This window comes from Homo sapiens, chromosome 1, assembly GCF_000001405.40.
Source record: "Homo sapiens chromosome 1, GRCh38.p14 Primary Assembly".
NCBI classification, from domain to species: Eukaryota; Metazoa; Chordata; class Mammalia; order Primates; family Hominidae; genus Homo; species Homo sapiens.
In genome coordinates, this window is record NC_000001.11 from 211,886,213 (window position 1) to 211,908,417 (window position 22,205).

At 44.7% G+C, this 22,205-nt stretch overlaps 2 annotated features.

The window, feature by feature from the left end:
* Positions 1,268–1,317: an enhancer, noted in NCBI's record as "active region_2490". NCBI's record gives its function as "activates an Ori minimal core promoter by ATAC-STARR-seq in GM12878 lymphoblastoid cells {active_cell/tissue: GM12878}" and the evidence as "EXISTENCE:reporter gene assay evidence [ECO:0000049][PMID:35858748]".
* Positions 9,175–9,469: a silencer, noted in NCBI's record as "tiled region #10612; K562 Repressive DNase unmatched - State 4:PromP". NCBI's record gives its function as "represses a minimal TATA promoter and a strong SV40 promoter by Sharpr-MPRA in K562 cells {active_cell/tissue: K562}" and the evidence as "EXISTENCE:reporter gene assay evidence [ECO:0000049][PMID:27701403]".

The window sequence follows — 22,205 nt, forward strand, 5'->3', positions numbered from 1 at the left end:
TTGACCTTCTGTTCTGCTTGATTAGCCTTGCTGCCCCTGGTGCTTGAGCTGCCCTTCCTAACCACCTTCCTCCCCACAGCACAGGGGGATGTCAGAGGATGCTTGTTTGAACTGGATTATAGATTACACAAATCCAGGAGGTCAAGGTTCTTAGTTGAACTGGTTGTTAACATTTATTTTTGTATCCCCAGGATGTAGCACAGTATCTGGCTCAAAAATGTTTGATGAATGAATGAATGAACAGTCAAAGGATGACAGTTTCCCCCTCAAGACTGTGAAATACCAAAGGCAGTTCAGCCTGGCAAGCCAGTGATAATTTTCCTCATTCTTTGTGGACAAGAAGCATGAGCTGAGCTTCTCAAATCTTCCCTCAGAGCACAATGACCTTTACAGATGGTCTTACCTGTACTTTTTATTTCTTTTTTATTTTTGTTTCAGAGATAGGGTCTCACTCTGTTGCCCAGGCTGGAGTGCAGTGGTGTGATCCTAGTTCACTGGATCCCCAAACTCCTATGTTCAAGTGACCCTCCTGCCTCTGTCTTCCTAAGTCGCTGGGACTACAGGTGTGCGGTTTTTTGTAGAGATAGTGTCTTGCTACATTGTCCAGGCTAGTCTTGAACTCCTGGGTTCAAGAGATCCTCCTGCCTCGGTCTCCCAAAGTGCTGGGGTTACAGGCATGAGCCATTGCCCTGGCCCATACTTTTTACCTTTGTAAATGCAAACACCACCACCATGTTCCACATGGGGCAGAGAATTCTTACCATTAATTATACTATTATATTTGAGCCCCACCTCCAACTACTTGCTAATCATTCTGGCCTCCCTTTACTAGACCGGCCCTGCCCCCACCTCTGAGATTTAATTCCCATCAAAGACTTCCCAGGAAGATCTGCTATCTTCATCCCCAGTCCGGGCACTCTCTAGCCAACAGCTCAGCTGACAAAGACCTCTTAGTTCTCCCTTTTCTCTCTCTCTCTTTTTTAATCGAGGTGGGGGGTCTCACCATCTTGCCCAGGTTGATCTCGAACTCCTGGGCTCAAGCAATCCTCTCACTTTGGCTTCCCAAATTGCTGTGATTACAACATGAGCATGACACCTGGCCAGTTCTCCCTTTTCTAACAAAAAAAAAATTTTTTTTTTTAAGACAGAGTCTTGCTCTGTCACCCAGGCTGGAGTGCAGTGGTGCAATCTCAGCTCACTGCAACCTCCACCTCCCGGATTCAAGTGATTCTTGTACCTCAGCCACCTGAGTAATGAATTACAGGGGCCCACCACCATGCCCAGCTAATTTTTGTATTTTTAGTAGAGACGGGGTTTCGACATGTTGGCCAGGCTGGTCTTGAATTCCCGGCCTCAAGTGACCTGCCAATCTCAGCCTCCCACAGTGCGGATTACAAGTGTGAGCAACCGCGCCTGACCTCTAACCAAAATTTCTTAATTGACAAACCCCATGCCCCATCTCAGCCCCAGATGACTCATTCTATATTCAGTTATGTGAACATATTAATCAGGTGAAACTCCTGTTTTGCATTTCCAGGAAACTTTCATTTGTTTTCTCTTTAAAGTGGCTTTCCATATCTCTGCTCTGATTTATCAATTTTTATTTTACTTCCTCTATTCCAAACCGTGAGGTCATCCTCCCAGCTGGCCTCACTCTTCTCCACTTTGGTTTCCTCTGTGGTTCCAGCAACCTGTGGTGGTGGGCTTCCTTTTCAGTGTTTAGTGTTGTTGACTATTGTAGCTCAAGGGCACAGCCTAGGCTACGAGGTCAGTACCCCCTTGTGGGCCACCTCTGATCCACCCTCTGCCCATGCCCTTCCCTTGTTCCCTAGCTACTGCCTCACTCAACAGAGAAGCACAGAGTGCCTACCAAGGGCCAGGCACAGAGCCGCCTCCTTTGACTACAGGGTATATAGACCTGGGTGTTCCTCACCTCCAAAGCCCACAGCGAGGGAGTCATGGAAACAAACACAATGTGGTCCCTGCATTGTTGGAAAGATCCATGTAAGAGAATGGAGGGGAAGCTCCAAACTAGGAAAGAGGAAAGTGGCGTGGGGAGGCTTCCTAAGAAAGAGTAGGCCTGAGTTAGGCCTTAAAGGATCAGTAGACAATAGCCTGATGAAGATAAGGAGTAAATGTGTATTTATCATTCATCCAACATGCATGAATGATAAGTGCATGCTGAGGACCTGCCATGCGCCAGGCTGGAGACTAGCAGTGAACAAAACAGAAAGTCCCTGCCTTCATGGAGCTTTGCTACTCGTGGGAAGAGACAGAGAATAAGCAAAATAAATAAGTAAAACATAGTATGTTAGAAGGTGATATGTGTTCTACAGAGAAAAATATATCCAGGAAAAGGATTCAGTTGTATGCATAGAAGACGGGTAATTTTAAAAATCCAGTAGTTTTAAATATGGCAGCCAGGGACTGTTATCATAGTGATATGAAACCCTTTCATCTTAATTGTAGCTTTAACTATTTGCAAAGGGCTTTAGTTCTATTAGCTCATTTTATTATTAAAACCATCTTATGAGGAGGTGAGAAAAATTAGTCTTCTGGGCTAGCTGCTGTCTAAATGAGCCTGCTAGGGCTGCTATAGCAAAGTACCACAAACTGGATGGCTTAATCAGCAGAATTCTGTTTTCTCACAGTTATAGAGGCCAGAAGTCCAAGATCAAAATGTGGGCCCCAGGGGCCAGGCATGGTGGCTCACGCTTGTAATCCCAGCACTTTGGGAGGCCGAGGCAGGTGGATCCCATGAGGTCAGGAGTTCGAGACCAGCCTGGCCAACATGGTGAAACCCTCTCTTTACTAAAAATATAAAAATTAGCTGGGCATGATGGCAGGCGCCTGTAATCCCAGCTACTTGGCAGGCTGAGGCAGGACAATCACTCGAACCCCGGAGGAGGAGGTTGCAGTGAGCCAAGATCAGCCACTGCACTCCAGCCTGGGCAATGAGCGAAACTCCATCTCCGAAAAAAAAAAATGGATGGGGTTCCTTCTGAGGGCCGTCAAGGAAAGATCTGTTCCAGGCCTCTCACCTTGGCTTGTAGCTGGCTGTCTTCTCCTGTGTCTTTACATTATCTTCCACTATCTTTCTGTGTCCACATTTTCCCTTCTCATAAGATACAAGCCATACCAGTATCTCACTCTGAGAGGTGACAGCGTGCTGGCAGCCCTCTGCAGCTCTTGCTCGCTCTCGGCGCCTCCTTGGCTTTGGCGCCCACTCTGGCCGCGCTTGAGGAGCCCTTCAGCCCGCCGCTGCACTGTGGGAGCCCCTTTCTCAGCTGGCCAAGGCCGGAGCCGGCTCCCTCAGTTTGCCGGGAGGGGCGGAGGGAGAGGCGCGGGCGGGAACCGGGGCTGCGCGCGGCGCTTGCGGGCGAGCGCGAGTTCCAGGTGGGCGTGGGCTCGGCGGGCCCCGCACTGGGAGCGGCAGGGCTCGGGACCTGCAGCCCGCCATGCCTGAGCCTTCCCCCACGCCCCCCGCCGTGGGCTGCTGCGCGGCCGGAGCCTCCCCGACGAGCACCGCCCCCTGCTCCAGGGCGCCCAGTCCCATGACCGCCCAAGGGCTGAGGAGTGCGGGCGCACGGCGGGGGACTGGCAGGCAGCTCCACCTGCGGCTCTGGTGCAAGATCCACTGGGTGAAGCCAGCTGGGCTCCTGAGTCTGGTGGGGACTTGGAGAATCTTTATGTCTAGCTAAGGGATTGTAAATGCACCAATCGGCATTCTGTATCTAGTTAATCTGGCGGGGCCTTGGAGACTCTTTATGTCTAAATAAGGGATTGTGAATGCACCAATTGGCACTCTGTATCTAGCTCAAGGTTTATAAATGCACCAATCAGCACTCTGTGTCTAGCTCAGGGTTTGTACATACACCAGTCTACACTCTGTATCTAGCTAATCTAGTGGGGACGTGGAGAACTTTTGTGTCTAGCTCAGGGATCGTAAATGCACCAATCAGCACCCTGTGAAAATGGACCAATCAGCTCTCTGTAAAACAGACCAATCGGCTCTCTGTAAAATGGACCAATCAGCAGGATGCGGGTGGGGCCAGATAAGAGAATAAAAGCAGGCTTCCTGAGGTAGCAGTGGCAACCTGGTAGGGTGTGCTTCCAAAGTGTGGAAGGTTCCTTCTTTCACTCTTTGCGGTAAATCTTGCTGCTGTTCACTGTTTGGGTCCACTCAGTCTTTGTGAGCTGCAACACTCACCATGAAGGTCTGCTGCTTCACTTCTGAAGCCAGTGAGACCACGAACCTACTGGGAGGAACGAACAACTCCAGACGCGCCACCTTAAGAGCTGTAACACTCACTGAAAGTCTGCAGCTTCACTCCTGAGCTAGCAAGACCACGAACCCACCAGAAGGAGGAAACTCCGAACACATCCGAACATCAGAAGGAACAAACTCCGGACACGCGGCCTTTAAGAACTGTAATACGCACTGCGAGGGTCCGCGGCTTCGTTCTTGAATTCAGTGAGACCAAGAAGCCACCAATTCCGGACACAACTGAATTAGGGCCCACCCCAATGACCTCATTTTAACTTGGTTACCTCTATGAAGAGTCTAGTCAAATAAGGTCACAGTCTGAGGTACAGGAAGTTAGGAGGACTTCACCATATGAACTTAAGGGGAGGGGGAAACATTCAACCCATAATACTACTCCAGTGACTTTGAACTTAGGTTTCACAGCTCGTGCTGGCTGACTCAGTGAGGCTAGAGGCCTGCGATAGCCTATGCTACACATAAGGGGGCTGATGATTCCCAAACCTTCTTACCTTCAATTATTTATCCAGGAATGAAGGGGCTTCACATAAAGGGCCCTACCATACTCATTCAGAATGCCATATCTTTTTTTAAAATTTTAACTTTTAGAGATAGGGCCACATTCAGTCACCCAGGCTGGAGTGCAATGGCACAATCATAGCTTACTCTGGAACTCCTGGACTCAAGTGATCCTCCCATGTTCGCCTCCAGAGTAGCTAGGACTATAGGCATGAGCCACCCTGCCTGGCTAATTTTTGTATTTTTTTGTAGAGATGGGATTTTGCCGTGTTTCTCAAATCAGTCTCTAATTCCTGGCCTCAAACCATCCTCCTACCTTGGCCTCCCAAAGTGCTAGGATTACAGGTGTGAACTACCATGCCCAACCAAAAGCCAAATAGTTTTATTCTTGAAAAAGGACTCAACAAATCTAGGTTGAGTTATATGTTGACTCCTTTTGAACTCAGAGTAACCCTGAAAAGTCCTGTAGCATTTTAAGGATAAGCAAGGCCTGAGCAAGCTACTGAAGCAGGAACTGAGAAACTGAACGGAAAGAACAAGAGAGAAAGGAACAAATCCAGAGGCATGTGGACCAAAGGAGAGAGTTGAGGTAAGAAAAAAGAGGTCAGGGAGTCAGGACACCTCAGAAACTCACTCTTTTTTCTGGAGATTGCAGTAACACATGCAAATGTGTTTGGAGAGGTTAAAGTGTTACACAATTGTGAAGTGTTATTTTCTAAGGTAGAGTTACCTGGGTATTGCACCCTTTGGAGATGGGTGCTGTTAGGTTTTCTGGCAGACTGTTTCCTAGTCTTTTGTCTAATTTTTAAGCCAAAGGTAAAATATAACGCTTCTGTGAATTGCTGACATTCACCTTTGTTGCTTTGAGGAAGTTGCTTCTTTTAAATTAGCAAGGGTGAAATCTTCCAACTCACAGTAGCCTGTGTACTAACCTAACTGGTGGTGTCAGGTTGGAATGTTTAGCTTTTGCCTGAGGTCCTGACATAACTCTTATAGTAGAAAGCAAGAGAGTTGAAACAAATGTCTCTGGTTCTCACTTCTCATGTCTCTTAGTCTAAGACCCCTGCATATAACAAACAATTCAGTTGCATTCCAATGCCTTTTAACCAGTCTTTTTTTTTTTTTTTTTTTTTGGTGGGGGGTGGAGGGGACAGGGTCTTACTGTGTTGTCCAGGCTGGAGTGCAATGGTGCGATAATGGATTACTGCAGCCTCGACCTCCTAGGCTCAAGAGATCCTCCTGCCTTAGCATCCCAAGTAGCTGGTGTGCAAACCACCACACCCAGCTAATTTTTTCATATTTTTTGTAGAGACAGGGTTTTGCCATGTTACGCAGGCTGGTCTTGAATTCCTGGGCTCAGGTGATCCCCCCGCCTCTACCTCCCAAAGTGCTGGAATTACAGGCATGAGCCACCACACCTGGCCCCAACCAGTGATTCTTAAATGCTACCCAAGACCCACCTGACGGGCTGCAAACTGACCCAAGAAAGCAAGTCTTCCCTTTAGGATGAACTACTGTAAATAATTATCTTTAGGAAGAGCTATTTACAAATTCATCCACACTCATTTTTATGTACATCTAAGACCTACTTACTAAAAGCTTGCTAAGTGAATGATTACAGGTTAACCCAGTTTGGAATTTATAAATAAAAGTCAGTGTGCTACCAAATTTTATTGAGGCTTCTGATTTTGTATTCCCCTGAGAAGTTTGGCCTCTGGAGAAAGCGTGGCCCGACACTGTTGGAGCCTTGCCCATCCCTGGCATTGTGTGGACAGATGCTTTATCATCAGTCTGCCATCAGTGTTGTTTGTCGTGTGTGGGTCAAGGTCTCCAACTGCTGCCATTCTTGCTTCTAATTGTAATTTACTGTTAATTTAGCTTCATCATTATCAAGTCAGTTGGGATTTGTTTGAAGCTTAAGGTGACCAGTGATATATCTTTGTTTTAATTGTATTTTTGGCCTTTAATTTTCTGGTAATTATACCTAAAGACAATTATGCATTGCAATTTGAATATGAATCATGTATGCCTTGATCATGAAAGCACATGTACAACTAATCCCCCCCACCAAGATACTTTACATTGACGCCTCAATAGTATGCTTGCATTATTTTTCCACTTGTATGTGAGAAAGGGTGGAGCAAATTGACTGTGGGTTATTCTGCCCAGCTTAAAGTAGCCTAGAATAGGAAAAAGAAGAGATTGAAAACCACTTTTTTAGACTCTAGGAAACAACAGAATGTACTGCACACTTTGCAAATAGCTTGCAAATGGCACGTGCAAATTCATTTCCCTTGGTAGATGCATGGGAAATAAATATCCATACTGAACCTTTTGCCAGCCCCTACCAGCCACAGGCTCACGGTGATTACAGCACAAGTAATGGAAGCCAATTGGTCAGGCAGCAGAGCTGAGATGGGGAATGAGGGAGGGAAGTGGGACTCCTCGGAACAAAGGTTTCAAGGCAACTGCACCAACAACACCATGCTCTGTAAACAGTGGCAACAGCTCGCAGCAATAAGTTTCTGTTCAGGGTTGTACAGGTTGCTGGTCACACATCCGTAAATGGTCAGTGCCCACAAAAGCCTGAAACAACTTTGGTCATTTTGGGGTTTCTTTGGGCATCCAAGTATGCAGTAATCTCCCCCTACCCCAAACTGGACCTGGGATGCCTTAGCCACAATTTGGTCTCAAATACTTTCTCCCCTGTGTATCCCAGTGAATTATATTTGTATCTTTATTATATTATAGCATTATGTTCTGTCTTGCTTTATAGTTGTATAAAGGTCTAACCCTCCTTGCGGGCATTGTTACTTTGGGGCAGGACCAGGTTTAACCCATTTTTGGGAGCTGGGAAGTACCAGCTTTGGAGCTGGGGGATCGGAAAGACCAGGTATGAATCCCTACTCTCCAGTGCTGTCCACATGACTTTTGGACAATGTACTTCTCTGAGCTTTGACTACTTCATAGGATTGCTGTGAGGATGGAAGGAATCTATTAGGACTGTCTGTGTTCTAAGTATTAAAAACCCAACTCAAACCAGCTTACACACACACACACACACACACACAGATTTATTCACAGAGGTATTGCTAGTTTACATTACAACATAATTTAGAGACTAAAATACAGTTGTCAGGGTTGGATGGATGGTTAGATAGATAGATACATAAATAGATAGAAACATGTATCTCAATTTATCTTTCTCTCTTCACACACACACACTTCTTTCTGTGTGTTGCCCTTATTTTCTCCTACTACAAATGAGCTTCCTCCATACAAAGGGTGGCAATGGTTGCAAATAGTTTCAGTTTATGTTTTTATTTTTTAAATTTTGAGATGGGGTCTCGCTATGTTGACCAGGCTGATCTCAAACTCCTGACCTCAAGCATTACTCCCATCTCGGCCTCCCGAAGTGCTGGGGTTATAGGAATGAGCCACTGCACACAGCCTAATTTCAGTGTTTTGAAAAATAGAGATAAGGTCTCAATCTGTTGCCCAGACTGGAGTGCAGTGGCGCAATCACAGCTCACTGCTGCCTCGAACTCCTAAGCTCAAGCAGTCCTCCTGCCTCAGCCTTTGGAGTAGCTGGGACTACAGGTGCATGCCACTTTAGTTTTATTTAATTTCTCCTTAGCAACCCCAAAGGGAAGGAGGGCTTCTCTTTCCCAATATCCATATATATAAGCCCAAGGAAGGCAAGGGAAGGAGGGCTTCTCTTTCCCAATATCCATATATATAAGCCCAAGGAAGGCTCTGATTGGCCAGATCTGGGCTGAGGCAAGAAGGGTTTTGTGATTAGCAGTCCCATCAGAATCATTGAGAATGGGGAGAGGAAATTTCCCAGAGGACAGGGTATTCGTAAATGTTGTTACCAAAAAATAAGGATTTGGGAGCAGGAGTAGATTTGGGCAGATAAAAGTCACCATCTATTTCAATTGATGGGATGCCATATGTAAGGCTATAATGCCTGGGATCTAAATAGACATAAACTGGGCCACTTGTTTCTTCCTTCTTTCGCCAACCCCCAGTCCCTCTGTTCTTAGTGCCTCCTACCTCCTTCCTTAAATATCTTCCAGCCACACCCAGAGTCATTTCTGAGACTGTTGGGAAACTCCAGCCAGAGGGGACCAAAAAGACCCTGTCCCTCTGCACAGCCTCTAGGAGCAAGAGAAAAATGTGCCTTAGTTCTGGAATAGAAAGAAGTTTTCCAGGGAAATCAGAAAGCTGTAGTTGAAAAGAAAAAAAAAAAGAGCCTGAGAAGCCACTATGAGGCCTATTCTCTTAGCACTTGAGGGATTATGGGCTGGGACACAAGTCCCATTAGAATCAGTGGCAGTGTTCAGAGAGGTGCCAACAGAATGACAAGCAGGATTTCTTTTCTTTCTCTTCCTCCTCCCGGTTCCTTCTTCTCTCACTCCTCTTCTCCCTCTCCTCTGTTCCTCCTTCTTATCATCCCTCCCCTTCCCTCTTCCTCTTCTCTGCTGTTTTCACAGTATCAGATCCCTCCAGGCAAGTCCCTTCCCCTGCCAGACCTTCATCCCTGAAAGGCCACAGTCCAGGGCTAAGGTGTTTGAACACTAAACAAAGAGTCATTGAGCCCAGGCCCAGATAAGGCACAGCTGGGGGCATTGTAGGTCTCAGCCCAGTAACCTGTTCCATTAGGCTTTTCTGTGAGTCGGTGGCAGAGGACACTGTTGGGGAAGACGGTTGTTGATAGACTAGGATTCTTCTGAGCCCTCCTCAGCATGGCACAAGTGTGGCCCTGACAATGGATTCAGTGCCAGGAGGAACCATCTCCCTCAGGACTGGGAGAAGTCAACACCTCAGCAAAGATTTGTGCTGAGTCCTTGTTTTGTTTGTTTGTTTGTTTTCCCATTCAGAGTATATTCCAAGAAGACCAGGGGTGCAAAGAAGGAAGGAATATATGGTTCCTAAGTTCTTGGCCATAGCTGGGGGCTAACTGGTACAGGAGGTTGCACACAGGAGAAAGTCAGCGATGGTTAAGGACCCCCTTCTGTGCAGTTGTGATGTATAGGAAGAGAATGAGATGTGGAATCAGATCTGAATGTAATGCCTGACTCAACTACTCACATACTGTGTGACCTTGGACAAGTCACTTAGCCCCTCCATGCCTCAGTTTTCTCATCTGAAAAAATGAGGACAATAAGACCTCATGGGGTTGCAGTAAGGATAAAACCAGCAAATACCTGTTAGTATGCCATTCCATTTCCCTGGGTCTACTGCCCTCCCCAGGAAGCTGGCGAGTGTATTTTTACAAGTTCATGCCCTGGAATTCGATAGAGTTCGATCAAAATCCCCAGTCTTAATTGCATAGAGAGCTATTTAAGAATGAAATGATGAGATGTCAGGGATTTGCTTCAAAATGAATGGGGGTGTTGCAGAAACAAGATTGGCCATGAGTTGATAATGGTTGAAGTTAGATGCTGGATACATTAGGATTTGTATGTCTAAAATCTGTACAAATTGGTACAAATCTGCACAAATCTGCCTGCTTTGTATATACAGTGGGCTCTTCAGATCTGTGGGTTCCACATCCTTGGATTCTGCATCCATGGATTCAACTGAGGATCAAAAATATTGGAAAAAATTGCATCTCTGCTGAACATGTACAGACTTATTTTATTTTATTTTATCTTATTTATTGTTTTTAGAGATGGGGGTCTCTCTGTGCTGGCCAGGCTGGACTCAAACTTCTGGGCTTAAATAATCCTCCCATCTCAGTTTCCCACATAACTGGGACTACAGGCCCATGGCTTGCAGACATTTTTCCTTGTCATTATTCCCTAGACAATGCAGTATAACAACTATTTACATAGCATTTACATTGTATCAGGTATCACAAGTAATCTAGAGATGATTTAAAGAGGATGTGCATATGTCATATGCAAATACTAGCCATTTTATATCAGGGATTTGATCATCTGTGGATTTTGGTCTCTGCTGGGGTCCTGGAACCAATCCCCCGAGGATACCGAGGGACAACCATACAGGCAGTTCTCAATTTGCATGGCTCCAATCTGCATGGATTTCAGTTTCCATGGTTTAGTTAAATAACATCAGTCACCCCACAACACAGTTCAGATTTCAGTTTCCACGGTATATTAATGTGAGTAATTGCATAAAGTACAAACTTGGCTGCTGGCGCTTCAGTCCCCAAATCACTGTGTAAATAACAGACGCACATCGTGATCAGTGGTCAGTCACATCACTTCCTTCAAAGTCTGTCGGTTGATGGTTGGTCACTGCCCATCTGTGGTTCAGTTCACACACAGACGGGAGCACGTTTCATGTTGCCTCCTTGTCTCCTAGTGATAAACCCATGACATTTTCCCAAAAAAATGGATAGTTAAAAGAGGAAACTGGCCAGAAAGAAAGAAAGAAAATGTACCAAACAAATGAAAAGTGATAACAATAGCAGTGAAATTCGAGACAAACACAAATAGAATTATAGGAGAAAATTCTGAACCATGGGAATGTCGACACCACCACTGTTCAAGACTCTGTGTATGTAGCTAGGGGAGCTAGTGACATCAACATAAATGGGGAAAGTAAAGAGGATGAAGATGTCCCAGAGGAAGTGAGACTGGTGGAAAAAAACCTTCACATTAACCCATTTATGCCTGAGGATGCAATTTTTTGAATTTTTTGAATTTTGAAAATCAGACCTTGGCGATGACCTTGAGCAGTAGGATGTATAAGATAACTCCCACATGCTTAGCATTCCAATAATGGAACACTAGGCATAAATGGGCACACTTGGAGATGTTTTACATCATTGAAAATGCAAAAGATAAAATGCTGGAAGCTGATCCAAATTCAGGAGTGTGACAATAAGCTAAGACATAAAAAAGATGCCCACTCCATATCATACATTAAACAATGAGAAGGCAAGCACTGTTCAAATTATCCAGATACATTTTTTACAAAGAAATAAAACACCTATTTTCAATGTTTCTAATGTTTTAAATTATAATGTACTAAATAAATATTGGGTTTTTAAAATAATTTTTTCATTTCCCTATACATTTACAACTGCAAGTAAGAGCATTTTTAATGCTTTGACAAACATTTTTAAAGGTCACGAAACAATTGTAATTTTCGACATTGATTATTACAGATTGTTTGCATGGCCGTTTTCACAGTCTTGCACTACTGTAGAAAGCGAGGAATGCCATCCTAATTTGAAATTTCAATACGAAATTTTTTTTCAAATCCCCATTCAACCACTTTCTTTTTTTTTTTTTTTTTTTTTTTTTTGAGACAGAGTCTCGCTCTGTCACCCAGGCTGGAGTGCAGTGGCGCAGTCTCGGCTCACTGCAAGCTCCACCTCCCGGGTTCACGCCATTCTCCTGCCTCAGCCTCCTGAGTAGCTGGGACTACAGGCGCCTGCCACCACACCTGGCTAATTTTTTGTATTTTTAGTAGAGACAGGGTTTCACCGTGTTAGCCAGGATGGTCTCAATCTCCTGACGTCGTGATCCGCCCGCCTCGGCCTCCCAAAGTGCTGGGATTACAGGCATGAGCCACTGTGCCCGGCCCTCAACCACTTTCTGATGAGAGTCATTTAACCCTTCCATGCCTCAGTTTCCTCATCTGTCAACTGTAGATAATAATTACACTCTCTTCAACTGGTTGTTGTGAAGATTTAACAAGTTAATACTTGCCAAGTGAAAGGCAAGAGTGAAAGGTATAAATAAATCATGTAATGTTGGCTGCTATTATATGTATTATATGTATAGATCTGAACCAGATGGAGACAGAATACACAAAGTGGTCAGAGAGTGCCGGTGTTGTTATAATCATCACCACTGCCACCAGCAGCTGCCTCACAGCTACTCCCCTTTGCAGATATCCTTAAAGTGCTGTCTTGAGTACCACATAGTACTCTGTTCAGCACAGCTCATTTTCTCTAGGAATTTCCATTTCTGGATAAAGACATATTGATGTTGACCAGTGTTTCTTAACCTTTTCTTCATGATCACCCCTCTCTAGGAAGCCGCTTTAGGCATTTTTTCCTAATCATCTTTCTTATGAAATGTTAATATTATAGACATATGGTATATCTGTTAATGTACTCTATGTATGTTTCTGTTTTACACATAAAAAGAGTAAAATCTTCATTGAACCATTTATTTGCCTGCCTGGGGGAATATCACTGCCATTGAGAATATATGATGTGGATGGAAATTTAGTAGACATGTTGATTGCCTCCTCAAGCCTCTCATCTCCCACCTCCTCACTACTTCTGGCCCACTCCCAGTCCTCTGGTTTCTCTCCTTTCTAAGAGAGCACTAATTTTTTTTTTTTTTTTTTTTTTTGAGACAGAATCTCACTCTTGCCTAGGCTGGAGTGCAGTGGCTTGATCTCAGCTCACTGCAGCCTCTGCCTCCTGAGTTCAAGCAATTATCCTGCCTCAGTTTCCTGAGTAACTGGAATTACAGGTGCCCACCACCACACCCAGCTAATTTTGTATTTTTAGTAGAGATGGGGTTTCACCACGTTGGCCAGGCTGGTCTCGAACTCCTGATCTCAGGTGATCCACCTGCTTCAGCCTCCCAAGGTGCTGGGATTACAGGCGTGAGCCACCATGCCCAGCCCCTAATTTATTGTTGTCTTGAACCCATTGTCTTCCACGTGGTCATGCACTTTGCTAAATCAATTAAGCAATATCCTATTCTCTTTGCTAATGATTGATTAAGAATAGGTGTATAACACAATTCTGGGCAACAGGATGTGAAGGCAGATTAGCCATCGTTTTGTTGTTGTTGTTGTTGTTGTTGTTGTGTTAATGAAAAAAGGTGGGGCTGGTGGGGGCGAGCTCAGTGGCTCATAACTGAAATCCCAGCACTTTGGAAGGCTGAGGTGGGGGAATCGCTTGAGCTCAGAGATCTAGACCAGCCTGGGCAACATGGCGAAACCCTGTCTCTATAAACAATTACAAAAAAATAAATAAATGAGCTGGGCTTGGTGGCACCTGCCTATAGTCCCAGCTACTTGGAAGGCTGAGGTGGGAGGATCCCTTGAGCCAAGGAGGTCGAGGCTGCAGTGAGCCAAGAGCATCTCAAAAAAAAAAAAAAAGGTCAAACTTGAAGAGGTGACCTACCTTTTCCCCACAGATGTTGTCAGGTCTTGATGTGTTGACTTGAACTCTGGTTGCTATCTTTTGTCTATCAAGAGAGTTTGCTTAAGGGCCTGACATGCTGAAGATGCAAAATGGGAAATAATCAGGGTTCTTAATGATGCTGAGTTGCTGACTCACTGAATTAATCAACCCTGGAACTGACCACATTGGGACTTGTTTGTTTGTCTGTTTTTGTTTTTGTTTTGAGATGGAGTCTCACTCTGTCACCAGGCTGGAGTGCAGTGGCCCGATCTTGGCTCACTGCAACCTCTGCCTCCTGGGTTCAAACAATTCTCCTACCTCAGCCTCCTGAGTAGCTGGGATCACAGGCACCTGCTACCACACCTGGCTAATTTTTGTATTTTTAGTAGAAACAGGGTTTCACCATGTCGGCCAGACTGGTCATGAACTCCTGGCCTCAAGTGATCCACCTGCCTCAGCATTCAAAAGTGCTGGGATTATAGGCCTGAGCCACTATAAGCCCAGCTGGGACTTCTTGTTATATGAGGTGATACTTTTTCCTTATTGCTTTGGCTTGCTGAGTCAGTGTTTCCAGTTACTTGTAGCCAAAAAGATCCCAGGCATTATGGGGATAAAAGAGCTATGGACAACAAAAGAATGTTGAACAAATATATTAATAAAAAGTCAAAGCATTTGCGTGAATTGAGGATTGCTGCATTTTGGAGACTAAGACTGGAAAATGTCTTCTTTCTTCTATTCCTGAGCAACCTTGGCCATATTCATAGCTTCAGCTCCCAGATTCTGGAATAACTGGGTTTGAATCCTGCTCATCCATTGACCAGCTGAATGGCCTTGGTAAGTTACCTTTTCGAGTGCCAGATTCCTTTTTAGTAAAATTAAGACAGAATTCTCTGTACTGCATTATGAAAGTTAAAAGAAATAATACAAATAAAATGCTTAGAACAAATCTGACATCTATGTAGTATTTAGTATATGGCAGTTCATTTCTCTTATGCTAATGGCTTCCAACTCTGCCTCTCAAGGTCTGTCTGCTCCCAAATTTTCTTCAGATATTTTCACTTGGATGTTTCCATATTACTACACATTTAACTCATTCCTTACTTCCCCTCCGTGTGTTCTCAGGTGTGCTGGGAGCAGGCAGGAGCCCCACCCTCCCAAGCACAGCCTCAGCCACCCAAGTCGTGGCTGCAGACCTGGGCCTACCTGTGCTCTTGGGAGTGCTGGGAGCAGGGAGGAGCTCTGCCCTCCGGGTGCAGCTACAGTCACCGAAAATCATAGCTGTGGACCCATGTATTTCATTCCACAGAGCATACAGGAACCCTTTCCCCTGGGTGCAGCTACAGCCACCCAAGCTGGGGCTGCAGAGCTGGGTATCTCTGCACTCTTGGGGGCCTGGGAAGGCCCCCTCCCCCCATAGGCTCAGAGGTGTGTGCTCCTGCTGCCTGGTCTCTCCCACTCCTGGCACCTGATCTGATCTTGGAGCAAGGTTGGGGCTGAGCCCAGGTGCTGTCGCACCTAGCTGGATGTGCACACGCTTGGGGCAGTGCTGACATGACAGCCCCCTGCCAGCTTGGCCCCCTCCAGACTTTGGCCACCAACAAGCATGGGAGGGAAGCCTAGGTGGGGCTGAGGGCAGCTCAGCATTGGCCTGCAGGTGCTCCTGGGTGTGAACAGCCTGGGCGTCATTGGCAGTGGGAGGCAAATAGGCTCCTGGGTGGAAGAGGGTGGAGGCCTGGTGAGGCCCCACCTTCAGGCCAGGGAGGGCTTGAAAGCTGGGGGCCAGGCTGCCAGTCCCCACAAATCAGAATGGGAACTTGTGGTGCTTTTTCTGAGCCCACCCATGGCCACCCATGGACCAACTGATGCTCACTTCCTCACCTCTGAGGCCCATGAAATCTCCCAGCTCAGCCAGAGCTGAGCAGATATCAGGATGATCAGCTGCAGAGAGGAGCTACACACTCCAGGGCCTCCTCTCTGCTGAGAGCAGCAGATGTCAGGATGACCAGCTGCAGAGTGGAGCTACCCATACCAGGGCCTCCTCTCTACTGAGAGCTGCAGATGTTGGGACAACCAGCTGCAGAGAGGAGCTACCCTACTCACTCCAGGGCCGCCTTTCTACTGAGAGCAGCAGACATCAGGATGACCAGCTGCAGAGAGGAGCTACCCACTCCAGGGTCTCCTCTGAGCTGTCACTCAATAAAGCTTGTCTTCTCCGTACTCACCCTCCACTTGTCCACATATCTCATTCTTCCTGGAGCAGGACAAGAACTCAGGAACTGCCAAATGGCAGGGCTCAAAGAGCTATAACATAAACAGGACTGAAACACACCCCTTTCTCACCATGTTACAGTTGAAGAGAAGGTGAGAATAGCTGTGGTCCTTTGGGGAGCCGAGACTTTGGAGCTCCTTGAGCCAAGGCTGGCACTCCCTCTTTGGGGCCCTGTGATTCCTGGAGTCTCCAAGCTTCCAGGCACCACTGTGTTCCCCAGTGGCAGCTGTGAGAAGCTGTTTGCAGTGCACCTGGTCCAGCTGCAGCCTTGCAGAGAGCCAGTGCCCATGCTGGCACCTGGAGCTGCCTGCACCACTGCAGCAGCCAGTGTGCCTCACTGTGCACCATGGCCAGACCCCACACTCACTTGCTCACACACCCCTCGCTACTGCACACCTGGCTCGCCCTTGGCAGGTGTGGGATCCAGACCAGTAGTATGAGCCGAGTGCAACCTGCCAGGCCGAGTGGATGGAATGAGCCCAGCAGGCCTGAGCAAAACTCAAACAAAAGCACAAACAGCCACAGAGGTTTCTGGCCAGAAAAGCAACACCCCAAGGATCCTGCAACAAATGTATTTCTATTTTTGTATCTTTCAAAAATGCATCTATTACAGCCCAGCTCCTTGATCCCTCAGGTGCTATAAACAGCCTTCTTCTCTAGTTTCTAAAAGCACTTTGTAGCTCTCATATCACTTCTTCATTATGAGTAAATTACAGCCCTGTCTTCCCCTCTAAACTGTAAACTTCTTGCAAATTGAAACTGTAATGGGTATTTATTGGAAGATGACATAGTATGCTTTCTGCCACTCTCTGATAGTATCCCAAATTTCACTCAGTATTCACTCTCTGGCCTATTGGCTTTGGAGGAAGATGATTCCAACCCCTAGCTCCAGAGATGAGTTTTTATTATCTAGAGGTAATCATTCCCATGCTGTTTGCCAAGCCAACTGGTGTATGCCTGGGTTTCTGAACCATACAATGCATGGCATTTCTCTGGATACAGGAATTAATTTTGGAAAGATCATGTGATCCAATGTGAACCAATGAAGAACAAGGCAATCTTCACTAGGTGTTTCTGGGAAAGGTGTTTCTGGGAAAGGTGTTTCTGGGAAAGGTGTTTCTGGGAAAGTTCTAACTTCCATTAGAACTTTTCCTCTCTTTTGTAAATCCTGATGTCAAAAAGAGCCAATCTGGCACAATGAGGGAAGCCAGTCTGAAGAAGAGACCAGTACATGGGAGATGACCCAAAAGCTACTGAATGAATCTAACCCTGAAGCCTGTCCTACCTCTGAACTTCCTTTTACATGAGCCAAAACAATTGCTATTAAGTTGGAGCCAAGTTCTTTCTAGCTTGCAACATGAAGAGTTCTAGTGGATACAGGGAACTTATCTTCAACTTTGTATCCACCACAGTATCTGCCACATGGCAGGCATTTGATAAATGCTTATAGGTTTGCATGAGCCAGTGATTCTGGTATAGCTGTTTGCTGGTTCTCTGGATCTTTCCTGCAGAGTTTTCCTGTTAGCAGTCTGCCGCATGCAAGTTCCCAGCAGCTCCTTTCCTCATTTGAGCTTGAGGCTTCTGGTAGGAGGATGTTCTCATTTTCAAGAACTGAAACGGAGCTTCCTGAAGTGACAGGAATGTTGTCTATCCAATCCAGCTCTCTTGGAAATCCCTCAATGGACACTGGCAAATCTTAACTCACTGGCTGTCCTCCCTCTAGACTTTGGACTGCCACCTGTTAGATTGCAATTGTAGTTATCATTTCAACAGACTCTCATGAAGTTTTAAACTTATAACTTCCTGGTGCTAACTTTGGAATCACCCTAATTTAATCAATAAACTGTGTAAAAAATCACATTTTAGTTGGGTTATTGTTATTAGGTATTCAATTACCAAATAGTTTTTTTTTCAAACTCCCATACTCTGAAATTATATAACTTCTAAGAAGTCTCCTGCTAATTATTTTCTTTATCTCTGGATGTGGATTAAGAGCTTTATTATCAGTAAATAATATTTATTTTTCTTTCTTTTTTCAATTTTCAAGTACATAATACATTGTTATTAATTGTAGTCCCATGGTATACAATAGACCTCTTAGACTTATTCCTTCTGTCTAACTAAATCTGTGTCCTTTGACCAACATATCCCCAATCCCCTTACCACTGGCCTCCGATAACCACCATTTAACTCTGTTTCCATGAGTCTGACTTTTCCACACTTCATGTATAAGTAAGATCATGTGGCATTTATCTTTCTGTGCCTGGTTTATTTCACTTAACATAATTTCCTCTGGGTTCATCCATGATGTTGCAAATGACAATATTTCCTTCTTTTTAAAGGCTGAATAATATTCCATTGTATATGTAGATCATGTTTTCTTGATCCAAGAGTAATATTTCTAGACTTGGCTATCTTATTCTTTGTCTGATTTCCTCCTGCCCCATTATTTATTTATTTATTTTAATTTTATTATTATTTTGTGACAGAGTCGCACTCTGTTGCTCAGGCTGGAGTGCAGTGGTGCAATCCCAGCTCATTGCAGCCTCCGTCTCCTGGTTTCAAGTGATGCTCCTGCCTCAGCCTCCCAAGTAGCTGGGATTACAAGCCCCCACCACCACACCCAGGTAAGTTTTGTATTTTTATTAGCGATGGGTTTTGCCTTGTGGGCCAGGCTGGTCACAAACTCCTGGCCTCATGTGTTTCACCTGCCTTGGCCTCCCAAAGTACTGAGATTACAAGCATGAGCCACCACGCCTGGCCTATTTATTGCTTTTAATGGTATTCTAGGCCAGGCATGGTGGCTCATACCTGTAATCCCAGCATTTTTGGAGGCTGAGGTGGGTGGATCACAGGAGGCCAGGAGTTCATGATCAGCCTGGCCCACATAGTGAAACCCCATCTCTACTAAAAATACAAAAATTAGCCAGGCATGGTGGCGGGTGTCTGCAATCCCAGCAACTTGGGAGGCTGAGGCAGGAGAATCTCTTGAACCCAGGAGCGGGAGGTTGCAGTGAGCCAAGATAGGGCCACTGCACTCCATCCTGGGCAACAGAGTGAGCCCTGTCTCAAAAAAAAAAACAAATAAGTAAATAAAAATTAAGTGGTACTCTCCATCTTAGGCCCCAGCTACTAGATCCAGAGATTCGCATTGACCCCAAGGCAGACATCCATAGGTGGCCCAGGACCTAGGAAATGGTCTGGTATGAGAGTATCAACCACACCACATTTCCCTATACTGTGCCTGGTCAACCAATTAGATGAGCTTTCAGAGATCCTGAACGTGAACCATAGATAGGAAGAGATACAGACTGAGGGATAAAAAGATAGGTAAGTTTAACCATATTAAATTTAACTACTCTGTTCATCAAAACACCAGATAGAGAGTAAAAAGACAAGCCACAAGGTGAGAGAACATATTTGCAACATTATGTAAAAGATTAATTATTACATAAAAGAATTCCTACAGATTAACATAAAAATGATAGATAACCCAGGAGCTCTCTCCAAAGGTTTTGAATAGGCACAAAAGAGAAACTACAAATGGCCAATAAACAACATGAAAAATATTCAGCCTTATTAGTAATTGGAAAATGTAAATTAAACCCCATATATACACTAGTAGATATTTACAAGGTTGCCACATTAAAACACCTGAAGATAGCAAACAAGACTATGAAACAAAGGGAACACAAATATATCACATGAAGAAGTATAACTGGTACGACCCCTTTCAGTTTGGCATTTCTAGTACAGTACTCAACAGCTCATCAATTGTACTCCTAAGAATATACCCCAGAGGAATCTGCGCACAGGTGCAACTAGAAGTATGTACAAGAATGTTCATGTACATTTTGGCAAAAAAAAAAAAAAAAAGCTAGAAACAACCTAAACATCCATCAGTGAAGAATAGATAAATAACTATGGTATACTCTTACAATGGAATACTACTGAGCAATGAAAATGAATGACCAGTAGCTACATGCAACAACCTGGTTAATCCCAGTGGGCAGGAAGTGGTAAAAGTATGGAAGAGGTATGTCCATGGTCCCTCATGACTGATGGCTTTGCCTTCTTTGAGGTTCTTCATCCATTATCCCCTCTTGCAACATACAAAGTGAGTATTGGATTAAGCCCTCTTAGGAGCAATGCAGATTTCACAGCTTGGTCCTGCTGGTGCAGACGTGGGGGCCCAAGTGCTGCTTTAAGGCATAAATGCTTAAAGAGTTTTTTACTGATGAGGCTTGCAATTTATTTGCCAATTAGTTCCCTCAAAAACTGAGAAGGTTACAGTCAGCTCCATGGACCAGTCACCACTCCCAAAGTTCTTTCCTGGGTATAGTTCTTCTTTGTCTTCTTCTTCTTTTTATTTTTCTTCTTCTTCTTCTTTTTATTTTTCTTCTTCTTCTTCTTCTTCTTCTTCTTCTTCTTCTTATTATTATTATTATTATTATTATTATTGCCAAACTTTTTTTTGCCTCAGCATAAAAAGGACACTGGCTTTCCAGTACATAATATCAATTTTCTTATCGCTCAACTGCTGAGACAATGCCACATATTTCAGATTTTGATAAAAGCAATGCTGTATTTTCTATACTAATTTCTATATTAGTATAACATTAGGTTTCTCTAACAGAGACCAATCAATAATTCCATACCTTAAAGAAAATAAAAGAGGCCGGGCACAGTGGCTCACACCTGTAATCCAGCACTTTGGGAGGCTGAGGCTGGCAGATCGCTTGAGGCCAGGAGTTCAAGAGCAGCCTGGGCAACATGGCGAAACCCTGTCTCTACTAAAAGTACAAAAATTAGCTGGGCATGGTGGTGTGCGCCTGCAGTTCCAGCTACTTGGGGGGCTGAGGCAGGAGGATGGCTTGAACCTGGGAAGTTGAGGCTGGAGTGAGCTGAGTTGGCGCCATGCACTCCAGCCTGGGTGACAAAGTAAAACACTGTCACAAAAAAAAAAAAAAAAAAAAAAAAGATAAAAGTTTGGTTTTTTTCTCACATATCAGTTCAAGGTGGGCATTCCAAGGAGTAGGTGGCTCTGTTCCACCTAATCATTCAGGGATCTAAGTTTTTTCCATCTTGTTGCTCCTCTATTCCCTAGGCCTTGCTGTTATCTGCATGGTCCTGGTTGAATCATTGCTGTGTCTCAGTCTCAATGTGTGGAAATGGGGAAGAGACTGGGGAGGAAACACATTCAGGTGTAGTCCTGGAAGTGACACACAGCACTTGTGCTCACATTCCTTTGGAGGAAATTTATCCACTTGGCCATATCTGACTACAAGGAAGGCTGAGACATGTGACTGGGATGAGGAGGAAAATGGGTTCTGGTGAGCAATTAGACCAAAAATGTTCAATCTCAAGCCTTCAAGTTATTTTGCTGCTTTGAGAATAGAATGAGACTCAGAATATTGACCATAAAGTCAGAGCTACATAGAAGACCAGAAATATAAGACACAGTTCTCCTGTCATGTATATTATCTACAAAAAGCCAAGCAATTTCACATCTTTTTTAATGATTAAAGTAATATATTTACTTTTCTTTGAAAATTTCCCATGTTGGCTATATGTTCATTATCCATTGATCCAATGTGAACAGGGGGGTTTTGATTTTAATTTATTTCTATTCAGCATTATTGAGGTAGAATTGACAAATAGGAATTGCATATACTCAAGTTGTACAACATGATGTTTTGATATATGTATACATTGTAAAATAATTACCACATCTAGGCTAAGTAATGTATCCATCACCTCACATAGTTACCTTTGTGTGTGTCTGTATATGTGGTGATACTTAAGATCTACTTTCAGGCAGTGGCTCACGCCTGTAATCCCAGCATTTTGGGAGGCCAAGGCAGGCAGATCACTTGAGGTCAGGAGCTCGAGACCAGCCTAGCCATCATGGTACAACCCCATGTCTAATAAAATACAAAAATTGGCTGGGCATGGTGGTGCACACCTGTAATTCCAGCTACTCAGGAGGCTGAGGCACAAGAATTGTTTAAACCCGGGAGGTGGAG